The 12,675-nt window shown below is 41.5% G+C and overlaps 2 long non-coding RNA genes across 2 annotated transcripts in view; one reads left to right on the top strand and one right to left on the bottom strand.

The window, feature by feature from the left end:
• Positions 1-10,978, top strand: part of CASC21 (cancer susceptibility 21) — a 147,995-nt gene extending 137,017 nt beyond the window's left edge. The window contains exon 4 of the long non-coding RNA NR_117099.1: positions 10,851-10,978. This is a non-coding gene — a long non-coding RNA (cancer susceptibility 21). The remainder of the gene's footprint in view (positions 1-10,850) is intronic.
• The window catches only part of CASC8 (cancer susceptibility 8), a 192,464-nt gene that overhangs the window by 91,978 nt on the left and 87,811 nt on the right, over positions 1-12,675 (bottom strand). The window lies entirely within an intron of this gene.

Raw genomic sequence — 12,675 nt, forward strand, 5'->3', positions numbered from 1 at the left:
GCACACGTATGTTTATTGCGGCATTATTCACAATAGCAAAGACTTGGAACCAACCCAAATGTCCAACAATGATAGACTGGATTAAGAAAATGTGGCACATATACACCATGGAATACTATGCAGCCATAAAAAATGATGAGTTCATGTCCTTTGTAGGGACATGGATGAAATTGGAAATCATCATTCTCAGTAAACTATCCCAAGGACAAAAAACCAAACACCGCATATTCTCACTCATAGGTGGGAATTGAACAATGAGATCACATGGACACAGGAAAGGGAATATCACAATCTGGGGACTGTGGTGGGGTGGGGGGAGAGGGGAGGGATAGCATTGGGAGATATACCTAATGCTAGATGACGAGTTAGTGGGTGCAGTGCACCAGCATGACACATGTATACATATGTAACTAACCTGCACAATGTGCACATGTACCCTAAAACCTAAAGTATAATAAAAAAAAGAAAAGAAAAAAAAAAAAAAAAATTGAAACATTTTTCTGGCTTAAATACCTACCTTTGGTCTTATCCTAATTAGGCACCAATATTCATGCAATAATAGATTATATGCAGTAATTTTTTAATTAAAACATTAAAATAATTTTGATCCTTAACAATTAATGATCATTTACTCACCCCGTAACAATATATTATGTGCTACAAGTAGAGACAGGTACTGCTGTAGGAAACTGTGCCGTAAGCAATGGGGATGGATCCACTGCAGTCTGAGGATAATAGTGTAATAATGAAATAAGGGAGGGGAGTGTTTTTAAAAGAAGGGGGAAGAAGAGAGGAGGAAGAAACTACAGAGAAGAAGGAAAACGTGGAGAAAAAAGAGAAGGAAAAAGAGAAGGAAAAATAACAACAAAGTAGGAAGAGAAAAGAGAAGAAACAGAGGGAAGAAAAGGCAGTAGGAGATGATTACTATGAGCTCAAATTTGTTTCTCCCTTTGTTCCCAAGTTCCACTCCAATGCTGCAGTACAATCAGCTCAGAGCCTGATTATCATGGCTGACATAGCCTAGCGCCTGCTTATTTTTAGATGAAATTAATCATTTTCATGTGTTATTTTTGGTTTAGATAATAGCTCGAGTACACAGCAGCTTCTTCATTAGCTGCCAACAAGAATGTAAACAAGGTTGCATCTCTCCTTGGCAGGTTCTATATTCAGCTCTGCCATGAAGAAGCTGCGTTCCTACAGAAACTGAGAAACTGCTTCTCCTGCAGCCCGTGAGAGATTGCAGAGAGGGGCTTAGGCAGTCATAAGAGTAGCTGGATGGAAGGGAGCTGGAACTGCTTTGATTCCAATGCTCTCTTTGTTCAGTTTCTTTTAAGTCAGGAACTATTTGTCAGTATTATTGGCATTTGCACTGGATCATTCTTTGTTGGGGCCGGGGGCACTTTCCTGCACTTTGCAGATGTTTAGCAGCCTCTAGACAATAGATGCCAATAACATCCCCACCCTCACCCAAAAATGTCTCCAGACATGGACAAATGCCCCCTGGGGAGATACTCCAAGACACCCCCAGTTGAGAGCCACTGATTTCAATCAATAAAATGAAACCGTAATCGAGTAACCCAAATTACGGTGGAACAGACTCCCAACCACTTTACTGCAGAAATTAAAATTTCCAGGGCTGTCTTGTATATGTGAAAGAACAGAATGCTCATATTTGTCTCCTCCTGCCTCCGGGTCACTACTGGGTATCCTTGAGAGACAACTGCTCCAGTGGGCACAGACTCCAAGCTTTCCACTGGTAGCCACAGCTGGTACTGCCCTGTCTGGCCTTGGAAGATTCCTCAGCTCACTCCTTCCTTGCTTCATACCAGGCATGCACCATGTCTTCCTCTTTAACTCCACACAGCAGAAGAGAGAACCAAATGTAATTGTTTCTTAAGTTTTTTTTTAAAGGCTCAGGGACACTAACAACAGGATAACCATGATCTCTACTCTGGCCTTCCCTGGCCAGCGCTGGGCTGGCTTGTCATCGCACTCCTAGCTTCTCTCCATGGGGCCAGACATAGCATGCTCTTTCCACTGAAATCTGTCTAGTTAAATCCATTGCATTTAAACGCAGCCAAACCATGACTGCTCCTTGCACCCAATACCCACAAAAGAAGGCATTTTTCTCAGAGTCCAGAATCACACTCACTTCCCAAGTCCTCACTTGCCACTCCAGGACTCACCTCCTCCCAGGATGACTGCAAATTGGAATATACATAAATTTCTGCTCTTATCCACAGGAGTGTATCTCAATGTTGCATTTTCAGAAAGATAATCACCCAATAGGCTGATATTAGTGCCCCCCCCCCCCGAAACTGGGCACATGGGACACAAATTACTCAGAAAAAGTCCATTTTTCCTTAGTTTCTCCTCATCAAGCCCAAAGGGAAACATCTGAAGACAACTCTATAAGCCAATGATCATATTAAAACATGAAGAAGTTTCATCAAAACCTAGAGAAAAGCACAAAGCCAAGGCCAAGACAGGAAAGAAGAATTGGTGGCAGAGGTGAGACAGTAGGGGGAATAACAAAAACAGCCCAGGAGTCAGCCAGATAAAGTTCACAGGGAGCTGGGCAGGAGGGGAACCGCAAGGTGATTTTCAAAGCAAGTGCCCCCCATGGTGGAAAACAGCTTTGGGAGGCCAAGGTGGGCAGATCACGAGGTGAGGAGATTGAGACCATCCTGGCTAACATGGTAAAAACCCATCTCTACTAAAAATACAAGAAATTAGAGGGCATGGTGGCATGCGCCTGTAGTCCCAGCTACTCGGGAGGCTGAGGCAGGAGAATCACTTGAACCCAGGAGGCAGAGCTTGCAGTGAGCCGAGATTGTGCCACCGCACTCCAGCCTGGGCAACAGAGCGAGACTCCGTCTCAAAAAAAAAAAAAAAAAGAAAGAAAGATACAAAGATACAATACAGATTTTCAAGGATGTCAAGGATGAACAGTGCTGAGAGATCAGACTTAGGCCAGGTCAGAGTCTGATCTAAGAAGACTAGAGGAGACCAGGATCTGATGACTTGATTTTAGAAGATGATCCCAATGTTCCTGGCTGGGCTGCCCTACGATGGTCCCTCTGACAGCTGGCTACTCCGGAAATGTGCCAGCCATACTACCCTTTAAAAATAAGTACCAACTCCCATTTTCTGTTAAAAAGTTACTCTTAATTTTCCTAACCATAAGGATGGAAAAAAGAAGAACATTGTTTTCTTGTATTGATTAGGCCAGAGTGAAATGAGAGCTTACTATGAGCACTAAGGTGAAGGCTGGCTGGCATCACCCTGATCCCCAGGCAGCTTGTTCCCTTGGGACGCCTCTTCAATGACCCTGGGTGTGATTTTAGGACCTACACTCACCCCTGACTTACAGACACAAACGCACACACACTCAGGCATTCAGGCTAAGTGTTATAGACTAAGGGTTTGTGTCCCCTGAAGTTCGTATGTTGAAATCCTAACCTTCAAAGTGATGGTGTTAGGAGATGAGGCCTTTGGAAGACGATTGGGTCATGAGGCTGGAGCCCTCATGAATGGGATTAATGCCCTTAAAGAAGAGGCCCCATGAGAGCTCTCTAGTTCTCCACCCTGCAGAGACAGTGAGAAGTCATCAATCCGCAACCTGAAAGGGTCCCTTACCAGAACTTGCTCATGCTGGTACCCTGATCTTGGATTATCAGCCTCCATAACTGTGACCAATAATAGTTTATTGTTTGCTGGGCGCGGTGGCTCATGCCTGTAATCCAGCACTTTGGGAGGCCAAGGCGGGCGGATCACGAGGTCAGGAGATCGAGACTGTCCTGGCTAACACGGTGAAATCCCGTCTCTACTAAAAATACAAAAAATAGCCAGGCATGGTGGCGGGCGCCTGTAGTCCCAGCTACTGGGGAGGCTGAGGCAGGAGAATGGCGTGAACCCGGGAGGCAGAGCTTGCAGTGAGCCGAGATCGTGCCACTGCACTCCAGCCTGGGCGACAGAGCAAGACTCCGTCACACAAAAAAAGTGTATTGTTTAAGGCACACAATTGATGGTAATTTGGTATGTCAGCCCAAAATGACTAAAACACCAAGTCAAGGAATTTCTACTTTCCCAGTTTAGACTACTAGTTTCCACCTTCTCTGTCCGGTACTGAACGTGAATAAAATATCAAGGGGGAGAGAGCTGCTAATTTTCCTCTGGGACACTTATCCAGTGCTGATGCTGCTGTCTCCTCCTAGCCACAGCCTTGTGGTTGGTGGTGGTTTTCAGGTAGAATTTCCTAATCCAGATCCAAATATCAGATACAGATAACAGCTTTAAATAGAATCTAAAAGAAAAGTCAGATTGGGCTATCCCAGTAAGCTTGCCAGTAGAAATAGTGACTCTCACATACTGAAGGCATTCCCTGCAGAAGTAATGATCACCATTAGGTTGGGAAGGATGGCTGTTTCTACATGTGCCAGGAGTTTTTCCTTCATAGGATGGGCTGTTACTCAAGATTCTGTAAGTTTCAAACAATAGAAACACAACGAGAATTAGTTTATGCAAAAAGACAGGAACTTACCAGTTCCTATAAAACACAGAATGTGGAGAGATGGGTCTAAGCTGTATGATGGGTTTCTGCCAGAGCAAAAAACCTATCAGGGCTTTCTGTCCTTTCATTTCTCAGCTATGCTTCTATTGATGTGCTGACTTCATCACCTTCTATTGAGATAGGCATCTTCCATGCAACACAGACCATGCCAGAGGCTGATCTAGAAGCACATTCTAAGGTAGAGATGAACACATCTCCTCCTTCAGCTCCTATTTGAAACCATAGAGAGAGATGCTGATTGGCCTGGTTTAGGCCATGTGCTCATCCCTGGACAAATCAGAAAAGCCCAGAGTATAGGGCATTATAATTGGCCCAGGCTGAATGGAGCCGTTTAGATCTACAGTGAGAAAGGCAGAAGCAATCCTTACCTATTAGTATATATGAACAGTTACCGCTCCTATCGAAGCCAGGTACTGTATCCTCTCTTATATACTCAAAGGTTTTGCATTTCGAATAATCTCATAGGTCTCGTATCAATCGTTCCTCCCTCTTATTAGTGTACATATAGGTGCATACGTCTGAATGTTTGGAAAGGCAGGGGAAAAAATCAGTATCTCCTACTACAGATAAGATCAATAAAGCCCCTTTAAATCTAAGCGAAATTTTCAAGTTTCAAAATAGACTTCTAACTTTTCTAATTTTGTGTTACATAATTTTTACCTGTTAAATCAGCGATTTTTCCCTCTTGTTAGATCATTCTAATTAAAATATAAATATACTGATATATAAATATATCCTTCTATCTTAAAAGAAAAAAAAAAACTTCCTTAACCTCATGCCCCCCTTCAACAACTGCCTTAGTTTTTTCTCTTTACAAACAAAGTTATTGAGGGTTGACTATGCTGTTTCCAACTCTTCACCTCTCTTTCTCTCTTTAACCTGCTTTTATCAGATTTTGTCTCCACCACATCAATAAAACTACTTTTGTGAAGCTCATCAACATCCTCCATCTGGCCCAATCCAATGGGCCCCAGTTGACTGACTTCTAAGCCTTATTTGACAATTGTGCACACCTCCCTTTCTGAAACATTTTTTTCATTTGGCTCTGTGACCACACATTCTTCTAGTTCTGCTTTTGCCTGCCTGGCTACTCCTTCAGAATCTCCTTGGCTGGGTCCTCCTCTTGTTCACAACTTTTAAATGTAGTAATGTGCTTGGCTTATACGCACTCTGCACTCTCTCTGGGGAAACACATCCATGGCTTTAAATAAAATCCGTGTGCTGACTACTCTAGTTGAGAACTCTCCCTTGATTATCAGGCTTGTGTTTCCAGCTGTTTATTGAATGCCTTCATTAGCATGCCTAGTGATCTTAAATTTACTAAGGCCAGAGCAGAACTTTCCCACCTCCACTTCACATTTGCTTCTCTCCAATCTACTCAATCTCCTTTAATAATAGTACTATTCACTCAGTTGCCCAGCCATCAGCAAGTACTATTGATTCTGCCTCCAAGATACATTTTGAGTAGCAGCATTTTTGGCAACCTCCACTGCTACCAGCTGGTGCATGTTACCACCAGATTTCTCCTGGACCACTGCAAGAGCCTCCTAGCCATCTCCCTGCTTCACCTCTTTCTCCTTGACAGTTCATTCTCCATCCAGCCACAAGAGTGATCTTCTGGAAACACATTTAAATCATGTTTCTCTCTTGCTTAATATTGAACAAGCTCTCCACAGTATATTCTGAATTATATTTATCCATGCTTTTATTCCCTTTTACTTCTCCATTCTTTCCTCTCTGGCATTTTTTCTGTTCCTCCTCCATACCAAGCTTATTCCCTTTTCGGGACCTCTGTTCTGTTTATTCTTTTTAAAAAGTGTGTCCTGTACCACAGTTCTTTACCCAGCTGTCTTTTTTGCCATTCAAATGTCACTTCTTAGAGAACCTTTCTTCAGCAATTCTTTGTACAACCGGAACACTTAGCTGGTACCTCAGGAAATCTTTATCCCATAACCATATTTTATTTCCTCGGTAGCACTCTTTTAAATGATGCCATTTATTTATGTAAATATATTTGTGCTTTTCATCTTCCCCCCCACTGGAGTGTGAACAGGTACCATATCTGTCTTATTCCTTTGGTTTCAACTCATTTGCCTGTGTGTCCACAACTCTTTGATCAATATCTGGCAATAGTAAATTCTAAATAATGCGAAAGAATAAACTTGTGTCTCCCATTGCCCTTTTCATAGTAGATGTACAATAAGTTCTTAAGAAATAGTTGAATAGATAGGATGGTGGGTGGAAGAGTGGCTGGCTGGCTGGCCGGTTGTGTGGACAGAGGTAAATATGCAAAATCAACCAATTTAATATCTCCCCATTACTTGCAAATATAGGATAGTGAGCAGGTTATTTAAGTAATCTATAGCTGCATTAACAACCCGCCCAAAATGTCATAGCTTAGAAAAGTAGTTGATTCTGTCTCATAATTCCAGAAGTTCATTGGGTGATTCTTCGGGTCCACATGGTATTGGCTGGAATGCTGACATGGCTACAGTCATCCAAGGGCTAGGTTGAACAGAAACATTCAAAATGGCTCATTCATGTGGCTGTTGTGGCAGAGTTCAGCTGTTCATCTGGGACTGTCAACCAGAAAAACTACACATGTCATCTCCATGTCACTTGGGTTTCTCCTGGCATGGCAGGTGGGTTCCGAGGCTTCCCAGAAGTGAGTGTTCTAAGAGATTCAGGCAGACACTGTAAGACTTGTTATGACCTAGCCTTGAAAGTCCCAGGACGTCATTTCTGCCACATTCTATTAAACAATCACTACTGTCAGCCTAGATGTAAGACTCCACCTCTTGAAGTGAGCAGTGTTGGTGAAGCCATCTTGGAAACTGTCTACCATACCTGTAAAGAGACAGCCCACTGGGTTCTGCAGGGAAATCACATTTATAGATTTTGATTCTTCTGTTCTTTTTATTGAAACCACTTTGGGAATATGCATCTATGTGTTTTACTTTCAGCAGATCAGATCTTACTAATCACAACCGAGTAAAGTAACAGACTTTCATAACTCCAGCCTTCATAATTCAGTAGCTGCATATTCATTATCTGAAAACTCACTCTTCAGAATTCCTTGCATCTTTTTGGTTCCAAAAATACAATCTTGTTTCACTTTCTTTAAAGTAGTCTGTGTATTCTAATCAGGGTTCTCTGTTTTTTCCATCGCTATGTTCCTGCCACCTGTTCCCTTTCCGCAACCAAATTTCCTTCTCTTTAGCGCAGATAGGCTGATACAGAAAGAAAAGTCAGTTTTAAAATTAAGAGCTAGAAAACAAGATCTGCACAATCAAATGAAGACATAGTCAAGGCAAAATATTAAGAGTTGAACTATTAAATTAGTGATTGGGTTCTGTTCAGTTAGGATGCTACTGTCTTCCCTTTCAGTGTTTCTCACATAAGTATCATACATGGAGTGACAACAAACAAAAGCGCAGAACATCCTGCACTTCACCCCTGACGTACAAATCAGAAGCTTAAGGGGCATAGCTGGACCCCTGCATATATGTTTTTTTTTTATCATACTTTAAGTTCTAGGGTACATGTGCATAAAGTGCAGGTTTGTTACATATGTATACATGTGCCATGTTGGTGTGCTGCACCCATTAACTGGTCATTTACATTAGGTATATCTCCTAATGCTATTCCTCCCCCCTCCCCCCACCCCACAACAGGCCCCTGTGCGTGATGTTCCCCTTCCTGTGTCCAAGTGTTCTCATGTTCAATTCCCACCTATGAGTGAGAACAGACCCCTGCATATATGTTAAAGATCCACCTAGGTGACTCTGATGTTCTGTCGGCATGCATTCCTTCTTCTAGGTATCAAGATACCACATTGCAAAGGAAAACCTAGCTCTTTTGCAATTTTGGTTTATCTCATTAGCACACTTACTATTTTCCCATTGAAGCAGTGACTGGAACTATTGGTTATGTTTCCCAGTGTGTTTTATATCTCAGTTTCTGGATGAACATATTTGTACAATTATAAAGAAAAAGTAAGAAGAGAGCTTTCAATATGTGAAGATTCACTTCCCAGGCATCTTTTCAACATTGATCCTAATCTGCAAAAGACATTGACCTCACAAGAAACAATTGCAATCAGGTTCTCACTGAGCTGAGTTTCTTCAAGTACACCCCTGTAAGTGGGCCACAGCTGCAGCCAGCAGATTTTGCACTTCTCTTGTTCCTGCTGAGGATGAAATGTGCTGAAGCCAATAACCTGGTGAATAATTCATTTTTCCAAGAAACAATTGCTAAGCCTCAGAATTGCTTTTTACCCAGACAGAGAGCAAATTATTTAACCAATAATAATACTTTCTGTATGTATAGAATCTTGTAATTTTTAAAATCATTCTCCTAACAATAAGGATAATGACCATAGCTAATATTTATCAAAAGCTTATCATGTGCCAAGTTTTGTGCTATGTCCTTCAACATAGATCATCTCATTTAATTTTTGCAACATTCTGAGACAGGTATTGCCATTTTTATCTCTCTTTTTCAGAGGAAGAAACTGAGGCTTATGAAGGTTAAGTAACTTTCCCAAGTCCACACAGCATTTAAATCCACATCACAGCCATCATGCTAGACTGCATCCCATTTCTTTATTGATCAGTAGACAGATAGAAGCAGACATATAGACTCATTTGATAATTATGAAAACCCTGGGTGACAAAAAGTATCACATATTAGGGCTACCAAATCAGATAAGAAAATTTAGGCTACAGATTTAAAACAACCTGTTCAAGTAACACATTAGCAAGGCAAAATCAGTTTTCTGATCTGAGTCCTGTGGTCCTCCCATAGCCCTGGGGCAACTCTAACAGAATCAAAAAGATTTATTTAATTTTTGCCTTGCAGTGTGCATGGGAGTGTGTCAGGGGAAAGGGACCGGATACGGCAGTGTACCGAGCCCTACGATGACATTTTCAGCCAAGAAGAAGAAGAATGCTTCATCAAATCTCCCATCAGCCCAAGACTAGATTGTACCAAGATTTTGCAATATGAACATAATGTTCTCTACTGTCCAGGATCTAATCCTTTTCCATCGGGGAACACATTTGCAAACAATGACTCCTAACTGATGAGGAACAGGATCCAACTGTTACTCCACAAACTAGGACCTTTACACCACATTGGAGGCAATAGCCCTGAGGTTAAAGGGCCGTTCCGTGTCTAACCACTGAAGCTCTTGCTTGAAGGAAGGTTTCCCAAAATGAACCCCCAAAGAAACTGAAAATGGCATGAACGTACATCCTGTTACTCAACACTCCCCGAGTTTCATAACGTGAAGTCAGGAAGAAAAGGTGCCAACATTCCTGAATGTTATTATCATTAAGGAGCAAACTCTTAATGTTCCCACACTTGAACGTTAAAGAGATGGGATCATTCAGTCTCCTCTTTACTTATGGAATTGCTGCAAAACCATATGGGCTGAATTAGGCATCCAAGGCTAATGTTTCCTACCATTCCCTCTGGGGGGCCTTTGGGGCTCATCCCAGGCACTTGGCTTTAAAGACAAGGATATCCTATTTGGAAACACAGTCATGAGCCCTGATATTAATAAGCACTTCCTGACTTCAAAGCATCTTTATAACCATTGCCCTAATTAAATCTCGTAACCTCCCAGAGAGAATGCAGGCTTCATCATTTCCACTTTACAAATGGAGAAACTGAGGCAGAGCCCTATGGAATATGAAACCGTATCCCACCTGATTGAGGAACCACTGGAGATTTTAATCAGTTTCAGATTAAATTACAATGTTAAAGTTTTAATTTTTTATTTTACCATTTGGTGAGATTAAAACAAGGCATTTAATTGTGTATTCTGATGGTTAAAACCACCAGACCTGGTTGTGTGGCCTTGGCATAGGGATCAAACTTCTCTAAACTTTAATTTCCTCATTGGGAAAAATGAAAATAATAACAGAGTCTACCATAATGTTTTTCAGGTTAAATAATGTATGTTAAGTTTCTGGCATGCAAATAAGCACTCAATAAATTGTAGCAGTTTAAGTCAGCTTATTTTCCTTCAGCTACCCATTCATTCCTTCATTCACTCGTTTCCTAGTATTTATTACAGCCCATTGAGTGCTGAAGGCTGTGCAGTCCACAAAGGATACAGCAGCGAACAAAGCAGAAAAGGGACTATTTCCTACATATGGAATATATCTTATTTATGATTATAAATTAATTCACACAAAATGTGGGTTATTCCCTATTGATTTTGAACTGATCTCACCACTTACTTATAAGGTCTCTTTGATTGTTCTTTCAGCTGAACCATCACATTCCTTATACAGAGTGGGACAGCATTGGCTGAGTTCTACTAGCAAATGCCGGAGATGTGGTTCCTGTTGGCCTTTTAACTGATGTGATGAAATAAAGTCTTCCATAATTTGACAACTAGTTTATAAGTGGCAGAGTTTGAATTTTTGTCTCAATGTATGCAGTTGTGGGAATCTGTATTAGATTTCTGTTGCTTGCAGGCACTGTACTGGGCACTGTGGTGAGAAGGAGTGGCAGGAGGAAAGGCTTAGCCAATGTGGTAAGGCTAACTGAGGCCCTACAGGATCCATAGCATTTTTAAAAGAAATAGTATCAGTAAAAATGTCATTCCAGGGGAGGGCACAGGATGAGCAAACCCATGGAGGTTCTGTTCTCTGGAGCTTCTTGCCTGGGGACCTCAATGGTCTCAGCTACTCCAAATTGTCTTCTGCACTCTTCTAATTATATTTATATGTATTTATATAATGTTTGTGTGCATACGTGTATATATGTGTGTCTAAAATATACATATATATTTTTTCATCAAACAAATGCTTGTTGAATAGTAACTAAAAAAGGCATTTATTGAGCTTTTATTCTAGGTCAGAAATGCTGAAGGATGCCCTGACATGTATTAGTACATTTAATCATCCTGAGATTCCTATGTATATAATTATTTTTCTCATTTTACAGAGAAGGAAACAGATGTTTGGAGATATGAAAATTTTGCTTGTGGTTTATAAGTGGCAGAGTTGGAATTTAAAGCCAGTTGTGGTCACTGTATTCAAACGATCATCATAACAGAAAGGATGAAAGGGAAGGAGGGAAGAAGGGATATAGGAAATGAGGAAAGGAGAGAGGGAGGGAACAATTTAAAAACCATTCAGGCTGGGCACGGTGGCTCATGCCTGTAATCCCAGCACTTGGGGAGGCCGAGGCGGGTGGATCATCTGAGGTCAGGAGTTCGAGGCCAGCCTGGCCAACAGGGTGAAACCCTGTCTCTAGTAAAAATACAAAAATTAGCTGGGCATGGTGGCAGACGCCTGTAATCCCAGCTACTTGGGAGGCTGAGGCAGGAGAATCACTTGAACCCGGGAGGCGGAGGTTGCAGTGAGCCAAGATGGTACCACTGCACTCCAGCCTGGGTAACGGTGAGATTCCATCTCAAAAAACAAAAAACATTCAGCAACACTAATGGATGGCAAAAATGAGCTACACAATTCATATCCACATTTTAAGGCCCAAGAATTTAGTGTTTGGGCCCACTGAGAGAAGATGGGGAGACACATATCAAGAGAAGCTATGTGATGAGAGACGAAGGAGGCGGTGTAGGTAAAGATGGAAGTGTAGCCTCAGTCCTGCAAGCCTCACTCAGAAGAGCACCATAAGCTGCATAGCAATGGCAGCAGCAATTATTTTCCACAGGAGAACAGACATACAACTGACACCTCTCAGCACCCAGTGGCCAGGCAGAGCCTTCGATATGTCAGTCCAAGCCAAGGAGTCATCTCTGTCCAGCCAAATCTTTTCATCCTTCAAGATCTAAATGAAGTTTCTCTTCTCTGAAGAAGTCTTGTTTTAATTCAATATTTGCAGAAAAGCAACTTCCAAAAAATCTTTCATGAAAATACCAAGCCCCCAATACCCTCTCCTTTGTCTGAAGCCCTTGTAAATAAAAAAGTTATAAAATTGACAATAAGTAATATTTACTAACTGTACACGAGGTTCTAGGCATGTTTTCATTATTTAGGCATCACATTTTAAATAACTGCAATGATCTTTGGAATAAGTTGCTTTTTATTCCCGTTTTACAGAGGCCATAATGGTTAAGTAAT

This window comes from Homo sapiens, chromosome 8 (genome assembly GCF_000001405.40).
Source record: "Homo sapiens chromosome 8, GRCh38.p14 Primary Assembly".
Lineage (NCBI taxonomy): Eukaryota > Metazoa > Chordata > Mammalia > Primates > Hominidae > Homo > Homo sapiens.